The sequence below is a fragment of the Homo sapiens genome, chromosome 11 (assembly GCF_000001405.40).
Source record: "Homo sapiens chromosome 11, GRCh38.p14 Primary Assembly".
NCBI lineage: Eukaryota > Metazoa > Chordata > Mammalia > Primates > Hominidae > Homo > Homo sapiens.
In genome coordinates, this window is record NC_000011.10 from 89,852,288 (window position 1) to 89,880,119 (window position 27,832).

Genomic DNA, 27,832 nt, shown 5'->3' on the forward strand with positions numbered 1-27,832 from the left:
AAAAATATTTTTGATGAATAAATGAAAAATTAGCTAGGTGCAATGGCATAAACCTCTAGTCTTTTTTACTTTGAAAGCTGAAGTGGGAGGATTACTTGAGCCCTGGAATTCAAGGCTGTGGTGAGCTAAGATTGTGCCACTGCATTCCAGAGGGTGAAACTTTCTTTGGTATAAATAAATAAATGTGCACTTAGAGGAATGCTTGTGCCTTGGGAAGAAACTCAGGAAACAGTATTAATCAATTTTAGTTAATTTCTAGCATATTTACTCTGATAAGATTGATGATAGATATGCCTCATTCAGGCAGTGGTTTTTACAATGATAGTGTGATGCTAATTTAATCAGTGATGAAAAGGCGTGTACTAAATATTGCATAAACCTAATCATCTCTGCTGTCTCCACCTTTCTTAATACCCTAAATATCACTAAAGAGGTGGGTGTGGTCTTCAAAGATTCACATAAAAGGAAGTAGAAGAGACAAGCTCATATTTCTCCAGAGGAGGACAGCACTTCGAGTTAGTTGCATTCAGGTGACCTCTGAAAGTCAACTCTGCAAGGAATGAGCTCCTGATCTTGGGGAGTACTTAAAAGAACTTTTTCTTGGAAGAATTACTGCAGGAAACATTCATAGAACCTTGGGGTGAGTGCAACTTATATGGAGAAAATTATTTCTCTCTTCCTTTAAAATAGTAAATTACAGTGATAAAAATATCTGACTAAACTTACTTAATGATCTTATTTGTAACTCATAGTATTGCTATTCATTTTATGACATGAGGTTATTAATTGTTGTCATTTTGTGTGTTCCAAAAGTGTTTAATATATTTTTGAAAAATTTTAGATATCTAGTGTTTGCTGCAATAGATTTGTATGCATCATGAATATATGGAATTCACATTAAAACATATATATGTGTACTGCATGTACTAATATTGGTACACTTAATTAAGTAAAAAAGGATAATTATTGAATACTGTAAATGTTGTGCTTTCATAACCTTAAGCTTTTAGACATGATTTTAAGTTACTGAGGCAATGGTGAGTTAAAAATGGTGATACTAAAGGAAATAAGAATGCTCTCCAAAATGCCCTAGCTTAGAAATCAAAACACAATTGTTTAGCAGATAACTGTATAAGGAATGATTTGATACTTGATACTAGTTGTCATTTTAATTGAGGCTTACCTCAGATGAAACTATGAAAAATTCCTTGAAATGGCTCAGAAGACCTCTGAAAAATATTTGCAAGTCTTAAATTTTCACTGTTGGCACTTAAATTCAACAGTGTTTAGTAAAAGAGAGTAAGGTAAAGGACTTCAAACGGCCAAGGCAAAGATTACAGTTTGTATTGGTCAGGGTTCTCCAGAGAGACAGAACCATAGGATGTGTACATAACTATATATATATACCAAAAATACTTACAATTGTGGTACAATTGCCTATCGTATACCATACAGGTTTGTAGCCTAGGAACAATATGCTATACTGTATACCATAGGTGTGTAGTAGGCTATACCATCTAGGTTTGTGTAAGTGTACCCTATGATGTTCAAACAATAAGGAGACTGTCTAATGCGTCCCTCAGATCATATATCTGTCCTCACTCTACACATGACACTGTACAGGAGAGGAAGTCCACTAGGGAAATTTGTTCCCTTGATTATGGAGTCTGAGAAGTTGAACATAGGCTGTCATTAAGGTAGTATCCTGGAGATACCAATATCCTGGCTGAGTTAGAATAAGCTTCAGGAGAAAGAGAGGAAACTGCCTTCTCTCTGCCCTTTATCTTCAGTCTGAGCTACCAGCTGATTGGATAGTGTCCACCCACATTGAGGGCTGCTGTTCCCCACTCAGCTCACCAACTTACATGTCTCTCTGGAAACACCTTCACAGACTCACCCAGAAATAATGCTTTACCAATTCTCCATGTATTATTTGATCTAGTCAAGTCAACACCTAAAATTAACCATAATACCATAGTAACATAATTATATATATTTCAGTTTTTAAAAAACTGACTATATGTCAGTTCATAGTTGGAGTAGCCCAAAGAAGAAGTTAATTTAAGCCATAAGAAAAATAAACCCAATATTTTTCATTATTTATTTTATCTCCTAGTGATCCTAGACTGGTTTAATTGCTGTGTTTTTGTTTATCTGGTCGGTTGGTTTGTTCTGGGGTTGTTTTTGTTTTAAAGAGCCGGCTTCTGGGTCCCTCTCTCTAAAAATATGTCATAGCGCCCTCTGACCATCTTCTCATGTTTTGTTACCCAATGTAGGTTTTCTACTGCTCTCCCATAGTCATTCAGTAGTTATTTGAAAGAGAAATAGGGACAAGCATGTTTTATTCTAGACCACTTAAGATTAAAACCCGAGTTTCATATCGACATCCAGGGAATAGGTTTTTGAACAGATTTGCATTATGTTGCGGGCAGGAACTACGAGTAGAAGAGGTTGCGAGTCATCTAGTCAGTAGTGCCTGCTAAAAAGCCTAAGGACTCTCTTTGTGTATGAATTTTTCATTTTTGTTACAGAGGAAATAGTTTGTTCCGCTTTAATGAGCACTGTCAAGAAGAAAATATAGCTACCACATATCACCACATGTTCACAGATTTTCACCAACCCAGACCCCAAAATGACATGCTGCTCTCTCTTCTTCATCAGAAACATGAATTCTGGAATCTTGCAAGTCTTCCAGAGGGCACTCACCTGTCCCATCTGCATGAACTACTTCATAGACCCAGTCACCATAGACTGTGGGCACAACTTTTGCCGGCCCTGTTTCTACCTCAACTGGCGAGACATGGCAGTTCTTGCTCAGTGCTCTAAATGCAAGAAGACAATACAGCAGAGAAACCTCAAAACTGACATTTGTTTGAAGAACATGGCTTCCACTGCCAGAAAAGCCAGCCTCTGGCAATTCCTTAGCTCTGAGGAGCAAATATGTGGGATGCACAGAGAGACAAAGAAGATGTTCTGTGAAGTGAACAAGAGCCGGCTCTGTTGGCTGTGCTCCAACTCTCAGGAGCACCGGAATCACAGACACTGTCCCATTGAGTGGGCTGCTGAGGAACGCCGGGTAAGTGATGCCTCTGAAGATCTATTTCTATACAGGACACATGAAATTCTTGTAAGTCTATTTCCTTGGAGATTGGATGATGCCATCTCTGTGTCCCCTTAAGCATGTCTGTTATGAGCTTCCTTGACTTCACACCTCTCAGATTTGACAAACATGAGGAGAAACAAAGCAAACTCTATTTTCTGTGGGCTAATTTGTCTCTCATTTTGGGTCCTTCGTATATCAGAGTGTGAGTGATACTTTATTGTCCTCACTTGTGCTTCAATTCATGGCTCTTTTGCAGGAGGAGCTCCTAAAAAAAATGCAGTCTTTATGGCAAAAAGCTTGTGAAAATCTCAGAAACCTGAACACAGAAACCACCAGAACCAGATGCTGGAAGGTTAGTACCGTATTACTCTACCTTCTGCAGGAACTTATAGTGAACAAATGGGTGACTCTTAAAACAGGAACTTGATCTCAACCCATAATGTTTCTGGAATTCAATAAACAAGGAAAAAACACTTGAGAAAAAAACACCCTAATTTTTTATATAAGTTAGTGTGACTCTTTGGTAGGATGTCTAATCAGACCACAGATGTTACCCAAGCATGCTCATCTGTTTCCATACAAACCTATAGCAATACCCCCAACAAATACAAGAAACTGGGCCATTTCACACTGTTCCCAATGGGCTGCCTGGATAAATTCTGGATACAAGTGTTATTTGTCAGTCATGGAAATTTCAGGTGACCCTTCTAAGGCTGAGTCAGTATGAATTTGAATCCTGGTGGGCACCTATATTGAAATGTGAGCTAAATTTCAGGCAGAAGGAGCAAGAGCACAACCTTAGGGAAAGCATGAAATTAAATATCAGCGCTAATTAATATTGAGTAAGTCATAACACATAATGGGAAAAGTGGTGAGAAATGTAGACTTGTGTCTTGATGAAGACATAAATATGTGAGAAATATGGGAACTAGTATTTAATATAAGGAGAACTCTAAGGACTTGAGAAGAATTCTAGAAATGATTTTCTCTTTGTGGATGTTTATATTGAGGGTATGATATCTAATATTAATTCATTAATTTATTCTAATATTAATTCATTGAAAGATATTTTATGAGTACCTAGTCTATGTCAAATATCAACTTAGAAAATTAAGGATTAAAGAAGAAAGAAAACACACAAATCTTGCAATGGAAATGAGAAAAGCAAATGGTCACCATGCAGATATGTGAAGTACATGATGTGTTAGAGTGTAGTAGTGTCTTTGGAGAATAATCAAGCAGGAAAGTAGAAAAGGAGCACAGAGGCCAGGGACTGGGGCTGAGGGTTTGAGTTTTAAATAGGGTGGTCAGAAAAAAGGCTCATGGAAAAATTCACACTGAAACAAAATCTTGATCAGGAGGAAATATACATATCCTCCTGTTTGCCTTCCTCTTCTTCATAAATATATGAATATGTATGTGTATCTGGGTGTTGGTATATATATATATATATATGGATATATTTGAGGAATATATATATACACACACACAGATACACGTATATATTCCTCATATATCCATATATACCTATATTTGAGAAATATATATATGAGTACATATATGAGAAATATATATATATATGTATATATGAAAATAATTCTAGGTATAGAAAACAGCATGTGCAGTAATATTTAATTTGCATTTATTTGGGGGTTTGAGGAACCACAAAAAAGTCCATGTTGCTGATTAGTGTGAGTTTGGAAGAGAATAAATGAAACCTTATTAGAATATGTTATGCTGGGTGAAATGCATTGAGTTGACAATGCTAGTCTGGGTCATGTCATCATTTGTCGTATAATGGTTTTACATAACTTGCCCCAATTCTCCAAAATAGAAATAATGGTTTCTTACCTAGTCAATATAACTCGATAGTTTGATTCTTAAGCAAGAACTGTGTTTTCTTTCTATAAATGTGGTGTGGAAGAGAGAAATCCATTTTTATATAACTATCTTAGAAAGCATTTTATCATTAATCAAGTAAATGTAACTGGGCAGAAACAACTATGTTGATATTAGTACAGAAAAAAAAGGAAAGGAATAAAATTTTGTGGAATCTGAGACTTGACAAGATTGAGGATTAAAATATTGGGTGTTCAGAATGCTAAGAGGAATCAGTGAAATTCAAGAGAAGATGGATAAAACATTTCTATTTTGACTAATTGTCACTGCAGGATTATGTGAGTTTAAGGACAGAAGCAATCAGAGCTGAATATCAGAAGATGCCTGCATTTCTCCATGAAGAAGAGCAACATCACTTGGAGAGGCTGCGAAAGGAGGGCGAGGACATTTTTCAGCAACTCAATGAAAGCCAAGCCAGAATGGAACATCCCAGGGAGCTTTTAAGAGGAATGTATGAGGATCTGAAGCAAATGTACCATAAAGCAGATGTGGAGCTACTCCTGGTACGGACTGACCATGGGGTATCATGATGTTGAACATTCACATACATGGGTGTTTTTCCTCTCTCCTGAAATCCGTCTCCCCCTTCACTTCCATTATTTGTTTCCAAAAACATGATTCGATAACTAATGCTACTTGGTTGGGAAGGTATAGCCTCTCCTAGTGATTCTACTAGACCGAAGGTCCCTCCTACCTTATCCACCAGCAACAAAACTTTGTAGAATGGCTAAGGTAACAGACAGCCCCAAGAAATATTTCCCATCAAAAGTCAGTGATTTATTTAGGATTTTTGAAAGTGGATAAAATGAGAAGTGATTCATTGGCATTTAGGCTAATTTGGAGACATGGCATGATGGAGAAGTTGGGGAATCTAGGATCACACTAATATTATTTTGGGGTCCACTCATTTTGGTAACAGGGCTTAGGGAAGATGACTGAGTAGCTTCTTTATGGTTACCACAGAGCATAGACTCTGTGGGCCTCCCTCCTCTCCCTTCACTTGTAAAGAGAATGTCTTCAAGACTTAGACTTTATCAGGACATTAATTCATGACATATGATAGACTGGGATTTTCATGAGAAAAGAAACAGAGAATGCTTTCCAGGAGGGAACATTGTAGGAAAATATCTTCAGAAACTGTCTCCAAATCTCACACTGAACTTAGTGGAAGATGCGTCTTGTGGAAAGCACTAAGCCTTTCTATTTTTTTTTTTTTTACAGGCTTTTGGAGACATATTACACAGGGGAGTGCATACCAAGATTTTAGCAGATGCTTTCAGTTTCCACAAATATCAAGCAGGAACTTTGATATTGAAGGTATAATGGATTCAGATAGTGACACTGCCTTGTGCTGGTTGTACTTTCTCCATCCCCCACCCCCATGTAGTCATCTATTTTGTTGCCATACTCAGTGACTTTATTAAGCAGCTCAATGAAAGTTCTGCAAAACCAAATAAATAAATAAATAAATAAATAAATAAAACAAAAAATAAATAAATGAAAGAAAAATCAAGGAAGTGAGCATCTCTATTCCTAATTTCCTTTTTATTGCTCAAAAGCCTTCATATTTGAAAGAGAAAATATTACATTTACTACATGGCTACAAAGTCAACCAGGGGAAGCCAGAGAGAAGAGGGGAAAGTATCTTAGCAGTGAAAAGTGTTGATGATTTCTAGTTTATATTTAAATATATAATTCTGAAAAATGGATGAAACAAACTATTTGGAATGTTTGAACCGTGTAGGCCTCCAGAGAACCTCAACTATAAAAGGCAGATCTCCCTGCCTGGAGCAAGTTTCAACACCCTGGCCTTGAGAAGGAAGCAACAGATGCAGCAGTCTTAAAAATAACCCCACTTTTCCAGACAGTGATTTCAGGAATTTCTGGTGAGGTCTGGAACCCAGAATTTCATTTTTCAATATTCTCCCAGTCTTAAGACTAATGATCCTTACTAATTTGGAGCAATACGAAGAAAGATCCGAATGAATTCTCAGTCAGATAGACTTTTCCATCGTGCTTGAAAATCAGGAACTGTGAATAAGAATGGATTTGAAAAATAAAATGATAATTTTGGAATTAGCAAATGTGTGGGTTAAAGGGATTCTCATGAAATGTCTTTTAAATAAAAGTGGTGATTTTTATGTATTTTTTTTGGATGTAGATGTGGTAACTGTATCTTTCTCCTTGCAGGTATGAGTCCCCGCTGCTGCAAGTGTCTGAGCCTGTGAATCCAGAGCTCAGTGCAGGGCCCATCACTGGACTGCTGGACAGGCTCAGTGGATTCAGAGGTGAGCGTCAGCCCATTGGCAGAATTCCCACAGTGTATTACTTCTTGTTAGAATCATGGGGGTAATATTTTACCCTTCATCAAATCTTTATTTCATTTCAGCAGGAAGTGAACCATATGACTATGCAACCCTTTTATATCTGTGTTTCTATTTATAGACCAATTTATAACATGAAGAGTAAAACATAGTGAAAAACAAATATGTTCTGGGATCACATGTATAGAGTTATATATTGGGTAAATGGAATGACATAAGAAATAAAAAATTGAATAAATGGAACAATGCTCAGAAGGAAGCGTAATAATCCAAGGTTACATAAAAATTTTGGCACATGTTCTCAGGATCTCCTGAGGGCTGTGTCACAGACCATGGTCACTCATATTTGGCTCAGAATAAATTTCTTTAAATATTTTACAGCTCTCCCTCTCCCTCTCCCTCTCCCTCTCCCCACGGTCTCCCTCTCCCTCTCTTTCCACGGTCTCCCTCTGATCCCTAGCCGAAGCTGGACTGTACTGCTGCCATCTCGGCTCACTGCAACCCCCCTGCCTGATTTTCCTGCCTCAGCCTGCCGAGTGCCTGCGATTGCAGGCGCGCGCCGCCACGCCTGACTGGTTTTCGTATTTTTTTGGTGGAGACGGGGTTTCGCTGTGTTGGCCGGGCTGGTCTCCAGCTCCTAACCGCGAGTGATCCGCCAGCCTCGGCCTCCCGAGGTGCCGGGATTGCAGAAGGAGCCTCGTTCACTCAGTGCTCAATGGTGCCCAGGCTGGAGTGCAGTGGCGTGATCTCGGCTCGCTACAACCACCTCCCAGCCGCCTGCCTTGGCCTCCCAAAGAGCCGAGATTGCAGTCTCTGCCAGGCCGCCACCCCATCTGGGAAGTGAGGAGTGTCTCTGCCTGGCCGCCCATCATCTGGGATGTGAGGAGCCCCTCTGCCTGGCTGCCCAGTCTGGAAAGTGAGGAGCGTCTCTGCCCGGCCGCCATCCCATCTAGGAAGTGAGGAGCGCCTCTTCCCCGCCGCCATCCCATCTAGGAAGTGAGGAGCGTCTCTGCCCGGCCGCCCATCCTCTGAGATGTGGGGAGCGCCTCTGCCCCGCCGCCCCGTCTGGGATGTGAGGAGCGTCTCTGCCCAGCCGCGACCCAGTCTGGGAGGTGAGGAGCGTCTCTGCCCGGCCGCCCCATCTGAGAAGTGAGGAGACCCTCTGCCTGGCAACCGCCCCGTCTGAGAAGTCAGGAGTCCCTCCGCCCGGCAGCCGCCCCGTCTGAGAAGTGAGGAGCCCCGCCGTCCGGCAGCCACCCTGTCTGGGAAGTGAGGAGCGTCTCCGCCCGGCAGCCACCCCATCCGGGAGGGAGGTGGGGGTCAGCCCCCGCCAGGCCAGCCGCCCCGCCCGGGAGGGAGGTGGGGGGGTCAGCCCCCCGCCCGGCCAGCCGCCCCGTCCCGGAGGTGAGGGGCGCCTCTGCCCGGCCGCCCCTACTGGGAAGTGAGGAGCCCCTCTGCCCGGCCACCACCCCGTCTGGGAGGTGTACCCAACAGCTCATTGAGAACGGGCCATGATGACAATGGCGGTTTTGTGGAATAGAGAGGGGGGAAGGTGGGGAAAAGATTGAGAAATCGGATGGTTGCTGTGTCTGTGTAGAAAGAAGTAGACATGGGAGACTTTTCGTTTTGTTCTGTACTAAGAAAAATTATTCTGCCTTGGGATCCTGTTGATCTGTGACCTTACCCCCCACCCTGTGCTCTCTGAAACATGTGCTGTGTCCACTCAGGGTTAAATGGATTAAGGGCGGTGCAAGATGTGCTTTGTTAAACAGATGCTTGAAGGCAGCATGCTCGTTAAGAGTCATCACCACTCCCTAATCTTAAGTACCCAGGGACACAAACACTGCGGAAGGTCGCAGGGTCCTCTGCCTAGGAAAACCAGAGACCTTTGTTCACTTGTTTATCTGCTGACCTTCCCTCCACTATTGTCCTATGACCCTGCCAAATCCCCCTCTGCGAGAAACACCCAAGAATGATCAATAAATCAATAAATCAATAAAAAAAAAATTTTACATTTCTTTACTGTATTTCATTTGAATTGTTAAACACATTTCATTAGAGAATAGAGTTCACTGCAGTTTGTTGGAGTATTTGTACTTTCTTACAATAAATATATATTATTGATATAATGTAAAATTTTGATTTAACATGTAAAAAGAAAGAAGAATTATTACGTAAATAGGAAGTAAAAATGGAAATGATAATTTCAGTTTAGTTACAACATGAAGAGCTACGTGTAAAATCTAAAATTCGGTTTCAGTCTAGAGCTGGCAGGGATGTCCACAAAGTGACTGGTAAAAGATTTTGCAAAAATCTGCCTTAAATTACCACTTATAATTTGAATATATGGACTTTTATCCAGTTATCTAGAGCGGTGCTTGAGGAAGCTAAAATCTTCCCATTCTTGCCAAAATTATATCACTAGTATTTAAGAACAAGAAATATTTTAATAATAATGACCTTGATAGCTAAAGGGCATTCAGGGCATAAAATATTTCACTTTTACATTGGAGACTGGATTAAAACAGGCTGGTCTCATATTCGACTCTCAATTTTTAAGTTTTCAATAAATTTTCAATGTCTGTTTTTAGGGTTTTGTTCTTCCTATAGAGAATATTAATCATCCTTATACTTTATTAAATGTTGTAGTCACAATTCTCCTGTCCTTGTAACTTCAAATTTCTTGGTAAAGTAAACTCTTGGTAGAACAACTTTTCCCTCAAGAATTCTAATTTCTATTAATTACATGTATCTATATTTTTTAAAAATTATTTTTGCAGTTGATTTTACTCTGCAGCCTGAAAGAACCAATAGTCATATCTTCCTGTATGGAGATTTGAGAAGCATGAATGTTGGATGTGACCCTCAAGATGATCCCGATATCACTGCAAAATCTGAATGTTTTCTTGTATGGGGGGCTCCGGCTTTCACATCTGGCAAATATTATTGGGAGGTTCACGTGGGGGACTCTTGGAATTGGGCTTTTGGTGTCTGTAACAATTATCGGAAAGAGAAGAGACAGAATGACAAGATAGATGGAGAGGAGGGACTCTTTCTTCTTGGATGTGTTAAGGAGGACACTCACTGCAGTCTCTTTACCACCTCCCCACTTGTGGTGCAATATGTTCCAAGACCTACCAGCACAGTAGGATTATTCCTGGATTGTGAAGGTAGAACCATGAGCTTTGTTGGTGTTGATCAAAGTTCCCTGATATACACCATCCCTAATTGCTCCTTCTCACCTCCTCTCAGGCCTATCTTTTGCTGTAGTCACTTCTGACCAGAGAAAAGTCAGAAATGTGTCTATATGCTCTGGGAACCTGTTTATCCCAGAAAGCCCTCTTTTTCGCACCTCATCAAACGGGACAAATAAGTTACATTTAATGTCTTTAGTTGCATTCTAATGTCATCAAAACTCATTTATAGTGTTTCTATTAAATATGGTGAAAACACTAAAACCATGTGTATTGGTTCCTTTTTAAATCATTTTTGGAAAATCATTACCCATGATGTATGGCATAGAATATATTCTCTGGTTTTTAATTATTTCTGAATGTCACAAAGTGAAATAATAGATGACAGAGTTGTCTAAATGAAGTTAAAATCAATGGAAGAAAGTAGAGATCTTGGGCTTCATGAAAAAACTTGGAGTAAAAAGACTCAATGGTAACCTGGAAATATTTTCTTTCTCTTCATCTAACAATATTATACTTATCCATGTGTTTTATTTATGAACCTATACTTTGAGGTAATCTTATTTGACCTCCTATGCTGTGCTTATCTTTGTAAATCTCATCTTACATACAAAATGCTCATGCATTATTAGAGTGCTGTTCTACAGTGAAATTTACAAGGGGATCAGGACAATGCTGGATCAATTAAATATTCAAATGGACATAACTGAATACTGACCCCTACCTCAAACCATACACAGTGCATTTCCACATGGATTCATGTTCTGAAGGTGAAGGGAACACAATAAAATATTCTCACACAGAAAGATTTCCTAACCAGGACAAAAAAGTAACAATTAAGAAGAAAAATTTAGTTAGTTTGTATCAAAAATGATGACTTCTGTGTTTCAAAATACACCATCCAAGAATTAAAATGCAAACCAAGAGTGGAGAAACATATTTATCCCAACATATATGCAATAAAATACAATACATGTGATTAATGAATGTAATAAACAAAAGAAAATGAACCCAATATAAACTTGGGAAAATATTTGAACAGCCGGCCTCTGGGGCTGGAAGGTGGGCACGGGCGCCTTGCTGAGGCGGACCCGGGGCACCACCACGCCGGGCCGCAAGCTGCTCCGCTGCAGGCGCTGCAGGGGCAGGAGGCTGGCCTTCCGCGGGGCGGGGTCGCCAGAGCCCCAGGACCCTGGCAGCGGGGCAGGTGGGAGGCCGGCTCTTAGGGAGCCCTCCCGGGAGCCCGCGGCCTCTGGGCAGGGCGGCTTGTGCTGCTCTGCGCTCTCCGCTTCGCCCGCCTCCTGCGCCTGCCTCCCCACCCCCAGCCGCGCCGCCAGAATTTCCTGAGCCGCCAGGATTTCCTGCACCGCCAGCCGCCTCTTCCCCACGCACAGGGAGCTCTGGGGGCACACGGTCTGGCACGCGAGGGCCACGGCGGGGCTGTTAGAGGCTGGTGGTCATCCTGACCATGTGGTCCAGGGCGCCCCGGTCCTCCGGGCCACGCACGGAGCGCGGCGTCAGCGTGGACAGCTCGCAGTCCCTGACCCTCTGCAGGCAGTTCTTCGAGCCCTCGGGCTTCCGCACCCTCTCGTGGAGCGGAGGCAGCTCAAGCTGGTACTTTTTCCCCAGCCGCTCCTGGCAGGGGCGCTCCAGGAGCCTCTGCATGAGACGGACGTGTAAGTGGCCACTCCTCTGGCGACCTCCCACGGCGGGGGCCCTCGCGTGGACACCCGCCCCTGCTAGCTCAGGGCTCGGATGCGATCGGTTCGACCCTGCATGGCGGCTTTCAACCCGAACGCGTCCATCCTTCAAGGTCAAGACCCAGGACATAGTTCAGCAAGCAGTTGGTGATGATAGCGTGCCCTGACTGGGCCAGAACAGCCTCTTTAGTAAAACAGCGCAGGAAAGTCATGAAACAGATGCTCAGCTCCTTTCTTCATTTTCACTTTAATTCCGTGATGCCTCTGTGTCCGTCTGACGACATCTCTCCTGGGGTCTGGGACTCTGCTGGTCTTCAATGCCTACTGAGAAGGGTTCCTGGCCATCATCAGGCATGAAAACCTCAAAGCCCTCCTTCCTCAACGTGGGATCCCTGGGCCAGCGGCATCAGCCTCACCAGGAAACCTGTTCTTCTGCTCATTCTTGGGCCCCACCCCAGGCCTATTCAAAGAAAGACTCCAGGGCAGGGCTTGGCAGCCTGTGTTTCCACCAGATCTGTGTTAAAGCTCAAATGAACCAGCCCAGGTGATGCTGACGCAGGAAGCGCAAGGCTGAGAGCCAGCGTCTAAGGCAACTGTGCCCATGGGGCCAGGGGCAGCTCCTGCCTGTGCAGCTATGATTAGGGTTGCGTTCCCCTCCCTGTCCTGCCAGTTGACTTCAATGTGGGGGCACTCAGCTAAGGCCACCACGGTATATCCACAAAGCCGTGGTAGCAGGCGACATTAAGGCCGCTCTGGCCATTGTGGTCAGTCTCCTGAGCCTTCTCAACGCTCACCCCCCGCCGCACCAACGTCTGCAGCAGCCCCACGCCTCCAGGACGCCCTCCTCCAGGACGCCCTCCTCCAGGACGCTCTCCACGCCCTCGACGCCGTGCTCCTCCTCCTCCTGGAAAGGGTAGAAAGAGTCGTCCCAGGCGATGCTGCGGGTGTCGGGCAGACTGGAGAAGTCCTGGAACTCTTTGTAGTCAGCGCGGTCCTCCTCGACCTGTGTGCCTAGGAGTGGGGACGGCGGTGGCGGGGTCATGCAGCGCGCCCCGCCACCCTGCGGCTGGGTCCCAGCCAGCAGCACCACGCCGGCGGCCGGAGGCGTGGGCGGGAGGCCGAGGCTCTGTCCCGGAAAGCCTGGTGCGCGCCAAGGTCCCTGCTTCTTGCTTCTGCGTCCCCAGGGAAGCCCTAGCTCCCGCCCCCAGCCCGGTGGAAACCTCCCTTCTTTTACATTATTAAGTTTGTTTTTATTTCAATTTTTTAGGACATTGATAAAATCACTTTCAGATTTTTGAGATTAAAAATTAAATAATTTTCAAGTTTACCCTTTTAAAAATTTGTCACTATTTTAATACTTTTATTTTTTGTGTATTTTAATTATTGTAATTTATATCTTCAATTATTAGGGAAGAATTTTAGGAAAGTCTTTTCACATAATAAAGTCTAAGTAATTAACTATTATTTATTCTCTCTATCTCAAATACGTACTTTAACCTTTTAGAACACTTTATGTTTTGAGACTCTTGTTACTTATGTGACATTTTAACTATTATTCTTCACTCTTCTAGCGAATTTTTAATGTCATTCAAAGGGTACATCTTTCTATAGTGAGAATTAAACATAGTTCTCAAAAATATTCTCAAGTATTAGGAATTTCACCTTCCAATGGCATGTTAAGTATGTTCTCCTTCCCTTCTAATGCATATTCCCCACCCCCCGCCCCCTGCTAATTGTGTATTTTAAGTAAAGACAAAGTTTTACCATGTTGAACAGGCCAGTCTTGAACTCTTGACCTCAAGTGAGCCACCTGCCTCGGCCTCCCAAAATGCTGGGATTACAAAAACAGCAACTAAATGCTGGAATGATGACTGGGAACTTGTCTAGAGTCTCCACTGATTATCCTCCTCATAACAAGGCAGAAAGCCTTCCTCAGAATTATCTGGACTGACATTACTCATTGTCCAGACCTGTTAACAGACTCCTGGAACCAGAGCTGTGAGTCTCAAATGTGCTCCTTCAATAATGCAGTAGAAGGCCTGAGTTTCCACATAGTGGTATCCTTGAATGCCTGGAGACTTTTAAGGCTTAAGAACGTACTGATCCTATGAACTGTATGTTTTGTAAAATCTCAGGTTATGTGAGGTGCTTGGACAAATTAAGTTTCAGGGTGATATCCACTATTGAGACAGAAAATTAGTCTAAAGAATTAAGACCTCAAAGTCCAGAATGAGAAAAAATTGTTTTGCTTAGAGCCTCCTTATAATTGTCTTACTTGTTTTATAGATATAAGCACTAGAGGACAAGCTCTACCTGATCTAGCTGGCCTAGACATACGCAGATTCATTAATTGTAGAAGAAAGAATTATACCTTTCAGGTAAAATGGCTACAAAAAATAATTAGTTGCTGTTTTTGAGACAAGTTCTCACTCTGTCACCCATGCTGGAGTGCAATGGCACAATCAGAACTCACTGCAGTTTTATAGTCCTGGACTCAAGCAATCCTCCCAACTCAGCCCCTGAGAAGCTGGGACAACAGGTGCACACCACCACTCAAGGCTAATTTTCTGTTTATTTTTTGGTAGAGATAAGGTCTTACTATATTGCCCAGGCTGATCCCAAACTCCTGGCCTCCAGTATTTTTCTGCCTTGGCTTGCCAAAGCACTGGGATTATAAGTATGGCCACTGTAACCAGCTTTAGATCAATTTTATTTAATACAGATACCTTCCCAATTAAAAATATGTTATTAGAATTCTCTTAATCCAGCAAAGCAATGTTATTACTGACCCAGTCTTCACTTATTTTCAGCTTACATGCAGGAACAAAATTACCTTTATTTTTTAATTTGTTTTATTTTATATTTTCAAGGTGCACAATATGTTGTTTTGAGATACATGTGCATAAGGAAATGATTACTATAATGAAGAAAATTAACAAATCGATCATATCACTTAGCTCTGCTTCTTTTTTATGATAAGAACATCAAAAATCTAGTCCCTCAGAATATTTCCCAAAAACAATACAAGATTATCTATTATACCTACAGGTTGTACATCAGATTCATTTATTCTACATTACTGCACCTTTACAACTTTTGCCCTTCATTTACCTATTTTCTTCCCACCAATGTAACCACCTTTTTTAATGTATTAAACTTATAAAAATAGATTTCAAATATGAGTGGGACCATGAAGTATTTTTCTCTGTGTGTCTGTCTTATTTCACTTAGGAAACCTACCATTTACATGTCTCCTAAATTTAGTACAGAAATAAAGTGCTAGTCAAGAATGTGTCTCCGTTTTGTTAGATTAATTTTTTTCCAAGTTATCCTCTTTATCAATTTTTACTTTTTGTATTATAGAAGAGTGAAAATTCTTGTATTAAAGAAACTGTAACCAGGCTATTGATAAATAACTTCCTTTAGGGATAAAAATCTCAGGAAGTTCAAGATTTATGTATTAATGATTGACGATGTTCTTAGTGGTCTCTCTTTGATTTATTTCAATTGTAAGTAATTCTTGGTGATATTCTAACATAAATTCTGACAGGTGAAGAGAATAAATAAAGTAAGTATCTCTAGGAGAATCAATACAATAAGATTATCTTGGTTAAATGGCTAAGAAAATATGGTAAATAGACACAAAAACTGTTTCATCTTCCAAAATCAGAGTCAAATACTAAGTGATCGTAAAGTAGCTAATTCTGTCTTTCTGCCAAAGTGAATCTGAGCTAAATTAGAAGAATGTCAGGAATAATTTTTCCTCGAAATCTAGCAACAAATAATGTAATTAAATTATGAGGCTTTGACTGTTGCATAGAGTTTTAGCATCAACAGAAAAGCTCACAAAACATAGGTGAAAATCCAAAAGGAGTGCTGGGTTGGAGCCCTAAGGTGAGTAATTTTATCATCTCAGATCACTTGGAAAAAAGCAGCGAGTCCAAAAGAAGCTGGGGATAAGCTTTCTCTCTGCTAACCCCTAATGTTCTGCATGAAATATGTGGAGGCAGAAGAGAGACAGTTTATTATAGTCTACATGGTATAGAGTGAAGGAATAAGAGAATATTTCTGATAAGTATTTTCAAAATTTGGAGAATCATTCCTATCCAAATCATTCATTTAAGGGACTAAAATACAAATAAGATGTTTCTTGCCACATAACCCTCAGCTAGCCAGGCTCTAAAAAGGACAACACTGGACACCCCGACAGTGGTAAAAAGCAGGGTTTACTCACTCTTGAATAACTAAGAACTGGTGCTAACCTTAGGCAGCAGCTTATCTATTTGGTTGAGGTTCAGCTTTGTTTCATTGAACAAATCTCTTGGGTTATTTTCAGTTGTGCCAGTCATTTAATTTGTTTTCTGAATCAAATGATAAGAATAAATATGGTTTAGAGTGTAAACAGCATTCCCAGATACATTACAACTTGGTGTCCCATCTGCCTAATTTTGTAGCTATAGGACGGGAACAAAAGCATTGTGAGGAACACCAGGTGCTTTCCTTAAAGCCAAATACTCTTGTCCCTCCTACTTTTCTTCCGGCTTTCCTGCTGCATGGGACATGGCAATAAATGGGAGTTTCCTGCACACAGAGATAAAATTCACTTGCTGAAGATGTCAGTCTTCTTCTTGACCAACTCCTATGTTGGTACAAACATGTGAGAGAAATGCACCTTCTGAATCATTTCAAATTCGTGGTCTTTGTTAGAGCACATAAGCCGGTGCGCTAGGAGATGTAGCTATTACATTCTATTATAGAATTTTCCATTCTCTATCATCTGGATTCTTATTTGAAATGTAACCAAAGTTTGTTCTTTCTACTGCATAAGAAGGTTTATACCACTTTATGCTTAGCAAGTAATTATATGTCAGTTTAAATAAGGACAGCCTCCATTATTCTAAGTCCTGTTCCTGTTCCCCATCATCTTATATAGGAACCTTCCTCTTTCCATAGTTTATATGAAAAAACCTAAGACAATTGAAATCAACCCTGTAAAAATTATGCTACAATTATTTTAAACCCCAACATAATAGTGTTATCTTTGATATGAATCTGAAAATCAATTTATTTCTTATCTTTTGATAGATATTCATTAGTATGTTCTGTCCTATTTTGTTACTTATATTTTGGAAAAGTTTCTTAATGTTAGAATAGTATTTATACATGTTAACTCCTCTACTTATCCATTTACTCATCTTATTTACTGTGTAATCTATTCTAAAAATTGCATTGAATAATTGTAATATATTAGCAAAGAAGACAAATACTGCCATTGCCCCCTTGGACTTTTCAATCTGGTAGTAATAAGTATAAGAGTTTTCTTAATATTATAACCTGATATAATATATTCAGAGAAGATGTAATAGCAGAGCAACCCAGCACTGAAAAACTGTTGTATGAGCTGAAATGTGATTAATAACTAGGTTGTTGAGACATAATAAAGTCTGTGAGGTCAACCTAACTTGCTCAGACTTAAAAAGAAAAAAAGCACTCTTTTTATTCTTTGTAAGATGAGATATCCACCACTTCATTATTCTACCCCAGCCTGGTTGAAATATACGACTAAGACAAATGGTTTACAGTGTGTACAAACTGAAAACATACTCTCTGAAAAAGAAATCAGATTAAAAAAAGAACTTACATTGTATGATTTTATTTACCTGAATGCAAAAACATAAAAAGTAGATTAAGTGCTGTCAAGGAATGGGGGAGGGTAAAAGGAGAATTAATGTTAATGTGTATTGGGATTCTTCTGGAAGTGATAAAAGTTCACAGGTAGTAGAGAGCTCTGATGGCTGCTCAAGTGTGATATACTAACAATATCTGAATTAAATACATTAGAACATGACTTTTACAGTAAATGAATGAATCTCAACAAAACTAGTACAAAAAAACCATTATTGATGTTCTAGTAAAGATTCCACAATAACTTATTAATTAAAATAATTTAATTAACAAAAGTACACATTCAAGGTGGTTATCCCATTCATAACCACATAGTAATTACATTCCATGAAGTTACAATGAGCTCACAGGCTCTCGCACATAGTGTCTTAGGACAGTATTTGCCTCATATGTGGGAGGTCACAATAAATCATCGTGAAACCAACTTTTCATGTACAACCAAAGCAAAAGAAAGGCCTCAGAGGGGAAGAGAAGGAGGAAGGAGGAAAACCATAGATAAGAGAACCTTTAGAAACATCAAAAAAACTCACAGATCCATTATCATAATCCAGAAACACCCCAACTCGACCCAGAGGCCTTTGCACATACTGAATTAAAGGTGGAGAGTTGGTGGAGAGACTATAGTGATTGCTCCTCTTTGAGGAAATTAAAAAAAATCTTTCATCAGAATCAATAACGAAATTGGCATCTGCAGTCCTGGAATCTCGACAGACTCCCAGAATCCAGTTGGAGGAGAGGGTCACATCCACCTCCCAGTAATGCTTGCCGGAGGTGAATGCTTGCGCTCCCCACACAGCAAAGCTGTCCACTCCCTGGGGATCCGTGGGAGCACTGAGATGGTCATCTCCAAATATCACATATCTCACATCCTCAGAAAGGCTTATATAGCAAGGAATCATTTCCGTGCTCAGAGCACTATCCACTGACAAGAAAAAAATATTATATTAGTGAGTGTTATGAGGGACAGAGGCTCTGTGGCCCAATTATTCACTTCATTTGCTCTTCTTCCAAGAAAATACAGAAAAAAGGAAGCCAAGAGGGGTCAGCCCCATGCATCCATGAAGATGAAATGTTATTACACCTCTACAGCACATACAATTATGTATTATTCCTTAAGTAATAGAGAAAAAACGTGACCATACCACAGGGGAAATAATGATTTAATGTCTACATCTGCATAGTTGGTTTCAGGGCATATGCAAAATGTTTTTTTTTCTTCAATAGAAAACTCTCCTTGTATTATTTGTTTTTAAGATCATCAACAGGTAGACATCAATTTGCTGTGATGTGAGTATTTATTGGAATGTAAGTTATGCCTGTTATAGTCTCAAACATCAAAAATTTGGTAGAAATTAACACATGTAAAATTTATAAGTTTCTGAAAAGAATATTCTGGCTTTACATTATCTGTTTAGCTCCTGATTCAATCTACTCTGGGTTCCTGCCCTCTGCTACCCAGACCTGCTCTCTAGAATGGGCCTAACATGGTTAAGCCGTGTTCACAGATCCCTCACCTTTCACTTGTTACTAGATGTATCTGATGGCATTAGAATTGTCCTGATTATGGATATTTTAGTCATTTTCTTTGTTGATCAAAATGTTCTGATTTTGTAAATAATAAAGGTTACTTGTAGAATGCATGTAAATGCACATAGAATAGAAACAATTAAAAACCATTATGCCAAATCTAAGCCTTCAAAATTGAATTAAATTGAATAAACATGAAATACTGATGCCGCCATGAGAACTAGAGTCTTCATAACTACATGATCTGAATATTTTGTCCTCTTATTCTGCAGATAAAGTATGTATCTTGCTTTACATTTTCGTCAAACTGTAAGTCAGGAAATTGAGTTTTGATCATTGTAATATTACTATGCAGGTAGGGAAGATGCACATGTTTCGGAAAACTATGTATTACCTACATGTCAAAACTAATAAAACTTAAATGGGAAAATCCTCAACCAAGGGACCCAATAAGGAAATAATTTGAGGCTGGAATGCCAAGCAGCTGGCTCTTACCTCTGAAGTTGTTGAGCATGTCTAGGACTCCAGTTATGCACCATGAAGTGAGCTCTGGGTTCACTGGCTGGGGCTTTTGCATCTGTGCCAAATCAGTCCTGCAAAAAAAATGGCCTCAGTTATATTTCCAGGCCCAGAGCTAATCACACAGTCATACAAAGATATCACATTTTCATATAAGATGTTTCCTCACAATTCTGCCAGTTTTGGTTAACTGGGTGTACATTTTATTCCACACTCTAGGGGCAATAAGGATGTTACTTTTTCTAAACTTTGCTTCCATAAAAACCCAATTTCCCCAGATACGTTATTCTCAGACATTATACAACTTCTAAAGTCATTAAAAGTCATTGCCTCCCTCTGCCCATCACACCCCTTGAGGGTATGCAGAAATCCTGGAAATATTTCAGAGAGCAGAAAACTCAGACAAAAACCTTTGGGACCTCAGCCTGCAGTTGTCACTAATGCTAGTCAGTGTCTAACAGAGAATGTTCACTGAGGCAAAAGGCTTTAATCTTTTGTGCAAAACAAAGGAGTCTAATTCCAGCCTGAGAACCCTGCTGCTGAGGGGCCCGAGGCAACCATTTCCCTGAGGTCTTTCCTAGAACTGGGTGTATGGTGATGGAGCAGGCCCGGGTCATTGATGCTTTTAGGAGCAAAACATCCCTCCTCAGCCCATCCTTAGGGAATCTCTCTCCTCCCTCTGTCTTTTTTTTTTTTTTTTTTTTAACCTCCCACCCCTCTAGAGTAGAAGATGCCTCTATGATTCCTCAGAGTAATTTTGCATTAAGATCTGTGGGGTATGGTTGGTCAGGACGGATGGACTGGGAAGAACAAACTTCCGAATGGCAAATTGTTTTTATGTATGTTTTAATTCATACAAATTTTAAGATGAAAACTTTCCAGACCAAAGAGAAGAAGACCTCAGGCCCTCTTTTGAAACAAAATTGGAAATAGCCACCGACAACGATGTTAGTACTCAAAATGATACATCCCCTTCATTCGCAAGAGAACAAACTTTTCAGAAATAGCATTTTTTTAGTGTAAACTCACCTTGCTGATACATTTCTCACATCCTGCAAAAAAATGAAAGATAATGTTAATTATGAGAGATTTTTCCTTCTGCATCTTTTCTCATACTCTTGTTTCTTTCTGTTTTAATAATGTATATCTTTTTATTTCCTGCTAAGGAATCATTCAAGACTACATTAATAATAGAACCTCAACTAAACAATAAAAAGCTTCATCAGTGGGCATTAAGAAGAAAGGAGCTCAGCAAGAGACAGTGGAGTAAAGCAAAGATATCTAGGTTTCCAGTGTCATTAATTTCCTAATCTTACTTCCAAGGAAAGGTCTGACCACACATGACAACGATTAAAACAAAACAGAGAACCATATGAGAAACAGAGTACATGGACATTGATGAGCAGCTTTGACAAACCTTGCCCAGGCAAGGGGAAACCCCTCAATGTCTTCAGCAAATCACTGCTGTGTGGGACATCAGAGAGAGGAGGAACTGGGGCATATAAATGGAGTATTACTAACCTTCCCCTGGCCTAGAGTTCTAACGATTTTAGATGATCTCTCTGTGTGGATAGTACTCCAAATTATATTGAAGAGAACTTTGTTATATGTTATCTGCTAAAATGGCAAAAATTTCCCAAAGATTACCAAAGTATGCAGTAATACGTGAATGGAGAAGTGTAATGGTGGAAGTCAGACAGCATGTGTCACTTAGCTTAGAGCAGTGACATACGCAGGTGATATTTGCATGTCCTGGCAGCACTGTCCAGCAAAGGCTTCCTGTCTCTGAGGATGGACCCTCCCTCCTCACCTGGAGCAGCACCACGTCAGGCATGTGGCATGTCTCCCACAGCTCTCTGTACATGTCTTTCATCCTTTCTAAATGTTGGGTCATTCTCACTTGACTGTCTTGTAGTTGTTGGAAAAGCTCTTCTGCTTCTCTTTCCAGTGCCTGCAGATGCCGTTGCTCCTCCTCATCGAGAAATATAGGCATCTTTTGATATTGAATAGTGATTATCCTCTTCCTTACTGACACATAGTCCTGCAGAGATGTTTGGTTAAAAGGATTACATGTTCTCACTCTCAATAGAAAACTTCAAATAATTATATGCTGGGTGTAATCAAGCAACTTATAAACTTTCTGCCTCACTCTTGCAAGGAGTCTTGAATATTTGCTATCTTCTTCTGTCCATCTTTTTCAATGTTCCTATTCTCTCTCCCTCTTTAAATCAAACCTATATAAAGACTCCTGGTTTCTGTCACTGTGATGCTTCTTCACAGTTGTTACTGAGTCAATTGTTTCCTCTACTAATCTCTCTTTTAGGATTTTTCCATGTCTGCTTTGCCTGCATGCTAAAAAACATTTAGCCATACACCATATTATGCAGTTTTTTTTTACTTTTACCATATTTTTACTCTATATACTATTCTATTTCTTTCGTCTTCCTCACACCCAAACTTAGTGAAATGTTGTCTCATCTGCAGTGTCTGAAAAGGTTTATACCAACCTTCAAATTTGAACTAGAATACACATCATGCCGTTTATCCAATATACTAGAATTCATTTGGCTAGCTTGTGTGGGCTTCTCTGTTTGCAACTCCTATTACATCAATTGAAATCACTACATTTTCTTGGGATGAAATCACTATCTTGCAACGGGTAGTTTGAATTTAGCTAAAAAGTATAAGCTAACATTGTGTTTATTTGCATAAAAACAAAGAAAACATTTTCATTCTTACCTTTAACGAATGAAATGTGCTAGTTTCCTGATTTAGATTGTTTCTTGTCTCTTGATTGATTTCCCATAAATAGTCCATTTCCTTTATAAGTTTCTCCTGCAAAAGAAGCAAGAAGCTTAGCAATAATGAAGACAGTATAGTAGATTTCATACCCTTATCTTAAAAAAAAAGGCTGTAATTGAAAGAAACATAAATTAAGTTGGAGTGAAGTGGTCAGATTTTTCCAAGTTAAACACATTTGGTTCTAATAATTTGGATGTGAAAAGTGATAGAAACATAATAGAGAGTTTTAAGGGACCCTTCAGATAATATCATCAATATTCTGAGAAACTGGCTTTCAGATAACCTGACTTTGAAAAGTGTTCTTGGTGCTGGCCACCAGCTCCACAGCTCCATTCTACACGTTTGAACAATGTTTCTAAGGAGACCTCCTTTAGTGAAGTCTCAACACAGCTATGATTAGAGTGCCAAATTAGCCAGCAACATTGAAAGGACACATTCATGTGTTATGATTGACATGGAATAATCACCACCTCCACCATCTGCATTCTCATCACCATCATTATCACAGGCCCTCATCATTCTTATTTGGGATTCTGTATAATTCAAACTGCCTTAGAGGCATCACGTACCCTGCATTCCTCAGCAGCCCATCCTATTGGGCTGTGGCTGTGAGCCATGTGCTCTGGTGACTCAGAGCAGGGCCCACAGAGCAATCTCTTGTCAGCCTCACAGAAGAGCTCCTTAGTCTCCTCATGGAGCACACAGATATTGTCTGAGCTGTTGATGTTCTGAGGTCTGGTCTGTCTGGCTAGGGAAGACAGCTTTTTGAGTACCAGATTGGTGTTGAAGTTGGGCTTCTCTGAGGTTTTTCTGCACGAAGGGCAGCGCATTGGTGCTCTGCCTTCTTCTGAGCAGAGGCAGAGGCAGGGCCTGCAAAAGCTGTGCCCACAGTCAATGGTGACCGGATCTATGAAGTAGTTCACGCAAATGCAGCAAATGAGCTCATTCTGGAAGACTTGCAGGTCGTCTGAATCCATGTTTCTGGAAATTAAAAAAAAAAAAAAGTGAGAATTTCTTTCTCTTATTTTTATTTACCCCGATGAAAAGGAAAGAAAGGCCGGTGGACAATTTTCCTTGTCTACTTGAGCTCTGTCCAGCATGTCTAATAAGTTAGCTCCAGCACAAACTGAGACATAGTAAATTCATACATGCTGGATTTATAAAGTTTTCCCTCAATAGCCATCGAAGATTCGGTCAAGGACTCCCTGAGAACCAAGATCCTAAGATGTTCAAGTCTCTTATTAGTAAATGGTGTGAATTTGTATGTAACCTAAACCTATCCTCCTGAATACTTTATGTCTAGATTACTTTGAATGCCTAATACAATGTAAATGCTGTATAAATACTTGTAATGCCATACTGTTTAGGAACAGCAAGAAGATTAAAAATATGTACATGTTTGGCAGGGCGCGGTACTCATGCCTGTAATCCCAGCACTTCGGGAGGCCGAGGCGGGCGGATCACGAGGTCAGGAGATCGAGACCATCCTGACTAACACGGTGAAACCCCGTTTCTACTAAAAATACAAAAAATTAGCAGGGCGTGGTGGTACGTGCCTGTAGTCCCAGCTATTCGGGAGGCTGAGGCAGGAGAATCGCTTGAACCCAGGAGGCGGAGGTTGCAGTGAGCCGAGATCGCACCACTGCACTCCAGCATGGGTAATGGAGTGAGACTCTGTCTCAAAAAAAAAAAAAAAAAAAGTACATATTCAGTACAGCTGCTTTTTTCTCCCTGTAAATATTTTTTATCTGAGATTAGTTGAATCCACGGGTATGAAACTTACGAATATGAACAACGAACAACCGTGATGCAAATGAGAAAATGAGACAACAGTCCTCATGGCATTTTTGTTAAACAAGCCGTGCTCTCAGTCATTCCCAGTTACCTAGACAAGCTTAAAGCCTGGGTGGAGGGTAAAAGCTGGGATGATTTCTGAGTCACTTATGTAAGCTAATTAACGAAGAAGCACATTCTGAATGTCATCCTGTTTCTGTCATTCTATCTCTCTCAATAATTCCATGATGATAATATATGAAAGACACTTAGTATCTATGGTATTATTCTATACTCCCTGCCTCCAAACTCACCTATGAAGTTTGCTCAGACAATTATAAATAAAGTAGCTTTTATCTAAGATTGAGTAATCACAGTGGACTGTCAACTCCTAAAATTATCAACCATTAAATTTGTCCTTTTAACTTTAATATCAAAACTCTTCCTTTCAATACATTAAATGTAAATAATATCTATTATTTTTAATTAGGAAAGTTTTTTCCCATTGTCAATTCTGATGATTAGAGAGAACACTTTCACATTCTGAAATAGCCAATATTTCAACTATAATTAACAAGAATTAATCAACAACTAATTATCTTCTAAAATAACAAAAAAAAAGTGAAGATATGTATTAGGTTTTCCACTCTACACTAGAAAATCCAGAAATGCAGTTAATGGAAGCATGGCCGCCAATTCACCTTTCGCTTAGTGACTTGGAAGTTGCAGCTTCTTGGGAGCCCTTGCCAGTTGGTTAGATCTATTGATCTATTTTCTTTCTTTCTTTTTCTTTTTCTTTTTTTTTTTTTTTTGTTGCTGTTGTTGAGATGCAGTCTCACTCTGTTACGCAGGCTGGAGTGCAGTGGCACGATCTCAGCTTACTGCAAGCTCCACCTCCCAGGTTCAAACAATTCTCCTGCCGCAGCCTCCTGAGTAGCTGGTATTACAGGTGCCCACCACCACGCCAGGATGATTTTTTTGGATTTTTAGTAGGGACCAGGTTTCACCATGTTGGCCAGGCTGGTGTCTAACTCTAGACCTCAAGCGATCTGCCTGCCTTGGCCTCTCAAAGTGCTAGGCTGCAAACATGAGCCATCATGCCCAGCCGATTAAATCTATTTTCAACAGCTTTCAGATCTAGTCTGCAAATTGCAAATTTTGAAGAGACAGCAAATAAGACCTTTGCAACAAGAATTTTCAAAGTAATTCAACATTTTTAACGTTCGCTTTGGCTTACGTTATAACCACTACTACATGCCCACATTCTGGTGAACATTTTAGGTATTTTATGGGTTCTATCATTGCATGAAACTATGGAAATATATCTTTTCACACTTAAGAAAAATCTAACAATACAGAAAACAGTCGCATAGTCAAATAGCAAGGGAACACAAACCATATCTTACAAATTGAAGATACTTTATATTGATTTTCTGTAAAATCACTAAGACAGTCATTTGTTTGCTTAGAAAAGACCCAAGCATGCTGCCAGGTAAATTTAAAGCATGTTTAAGAGTAAAAGTGAGCATGATGGTTTTGCTGCACACTGTATACTCACAAGGCTACTATGAATGGTCTCAGTCTAGAAACTCTGTAGATATCCAGATTAGAAGTCACTCCTGGCTCTTCAAAGCCCAGCAGCCACAAATCCAGTGGGTCCTCACTGAAGGAGAGAGAAATCTCTGGACAAGCATCCTTTTAAAGTGTATGGGCCCACGAAAGACCACACCCACTTCCTGAGGTTGATTAGATTGCGTAGAAAGGGGTAAATTGGCTGATTAGGTTTATAAAGTATTGAAAACCAGACTTGAGGGCTCAAAGCTCAACAGACAAGTTTGGAATGAGATGCAAGAAAGTTGACTTAACACTGTTTATTCAAAGAAATATTTTAAGTATAACAATTATTTCACTACATATTATCACATGCTATTTTTTTTTTTTTTTTTTTTTTTTTTTTTTTGAGACGGTATCTCGCTCTGTCGCCAAGGCTGGAGTGCAATGGCTCGGTCTCAGCTCACTGCAACCTCTGCCTCTGGAGTTCAAGCGATTCTCCTGCCTCAGCCTCCCAAGTAGCTGGGATTACAGTCGCCCGCCACTACCCCCAACTAATTTTTGTATTTTTAGTAGAGACGGGGTTTCACCATGTTGCTCAGGCTGGTCTCAAACTCCTGATGTCAGGTAATCTGCCCACCTCGGCCTCCCAAAGTGCTGGGATTACAAGCGTGAGCCACTGCACCGGGCCACATGCTAACTTTAAAATTTTGTTTCTCACTCTGTTTTAAAATTATAATTGCTTAAGTGCCTAGCCGTTATTTGTCTGAATATGTTCAAAGATAAAACATTAACTGGGATTACCAACATATCTGTGCTGTGTCACTCTCTTGTTTAAAAAAGTATAACAAGGAACTCAATTGTGTTTCACAAAATTGTATATATAATGGTTGATATAATTAGCTGTATCGGCCTGTTTAACTTATTTTTACTATTTTATGACTATTTCCTAATGATGGATTTATATGAAAATAAAATCTGTTTTTTATTTATCCACCCTTTTCAATAATTTTAAAACTGAAACTTTACATATATATGTACATAACTATCTATAACAATGTTACGTATTCATATTTTTAAAATTATATAATAATTATTTACACAATAATAATAATTATTGTTACTTTTTTTTTGACATGCAGTCTCCCTCTGTCACCCAGGCTGGAGTGCAATGGCACGATCTCGGCTCACTGCAACCTCTGCCTCCCAGGTTCAAGTGATTCTCCTGCCTCAGCCTCCCGAGTAGCTGGGATTACAGGTGTCTGCCACCGTGACCGGCTGATTTTGGTATTTTTAGTAGAGATAATGTTTCACCAAGTTGGCCAGGCTGGTCTCGAACTCCTGACCTCAGGTGATCCGCCCATCTTGGCCTCCCAAAGTGCTGGGATTACAGGCATGAGCCATGGCACCTGGCTGCTATTTATACAATAATTATGTGCATAATTATCTTTAATGGTGCCTGAAAGTTATTTTTAACATGGTTGCCATACTAACCGATTTTGTTGTCGTTTACCATGATTTAATAAATCACCAATGTTTATACATAGTTGTATTCATAAATTATCTAATGTTTGGGGAGTTAGGTCATTTCTGTAAACTTAAAATTAACAAACCTTGCTAGAAGTTGAAAAAGTAAAAATCTATATAAAGTCACCATTTGCAGATTAATAGACATTTAAAAAATTATAAAATTCATAAAAGCCAGCATATCCTAGAAAAAGATGAAGTGGCTGTCTTTTTAATCAGTCCATGGCA

At 40.0% G+C, this 27,832-nt stretch overlaps 1 protein-coding gene and 2 pseudogenes across 2 annotated transcripts, besides 2 other annotated features; 1 reads left to right on the forward strand and 2 right to left on the reverse strand.

Annotated features, from left to right (window-relative positions):
- Positions 553–10,784, forward strand: TRIM51BP (tripartite motif-containing 51B, pseudogene; annotated as a pseudogene).
- Positions 7,388–8,383: an enhancer, noted in NCBI's record as "H3K27ac-H3K4me1 hESC enhancer chr11:89592843-89593838 (GRCh37/hg19 assembly coordinates)". NCBI's record gives its function as "activates a minimal SCP1, AML or CMV promoter by ChIP-STARR-seq in primed H9 embryonic stem cells {active_cell/tissue: H9 hESC(primed)}" and the evidence as "EXISTENCE:reporter gene assay evidence [ECO:0000049][PMID:30033119]".
- Positions 8,384–9,379: an enhancer, noted in NCBI's record as "NANOG-H3K27ac-H3K4me1 hESC enhancer chr11:89593839-89594834 (GRCh37/hg19 assembly coordinates)". NCBI's record gives its function as "activates a minimal SCP1, AML or CMV promoter by ChIP-STARR-seq in primed H9 embryonic stem cells {active_cell/tissue: H9 hESC(primed)}" and the evidence as "EXISTENCE:reporter gene assay evidence [ECO:0000049][PMID:30033119]".
- On the reverse strand, positions 11,562–13,441 carry ANKRD33BP8 (ANKRD33B pseudogene 8; annotated as a pseudogene).
- On the reverse strand, positions 18,151–26,200 carry TRIM64B (tripartite motif containing 64B). 2 transcript variants are annotated; one of them, NM_001164397.3, is made up of 7 exons: positions 26,085–26,200; positions 23,323–23,734; positions 22,691–22,786; positions 21,762–21,992; positions 20,981–21,003; positions 19,928–20,025; positions 18,151–18,827 (listed from the first exon to the last, which is right to left on the reverse strand). In NM_001164397.3, the coding sequence occupies exons 2-7, from the start codon at positions 23,728–23,730 to the stop codon at positions 18,334–18,336; spliced, it is 1,350 nt and encodes a 449-aa protein (NP_001157869.1). In that variant the 5' UTR covers positions 23,731–23,734; positions 26,085–26,200; the 3' UTR covers positions 18,151–18,333. The 2 variants fall into 2 exon arrangements, with proteins under 2 accessions (NP_001157869.1, XP_011541257.1); XM_011542955.3 differs by lacking the exons at positions 23,323–23,734; positions 26,085–26,200 and adding an exon at positions 23,037–23,112.
- Between the last annotated feature and the right edge of the window lie 1,632 nt (positions 26,201–27,832).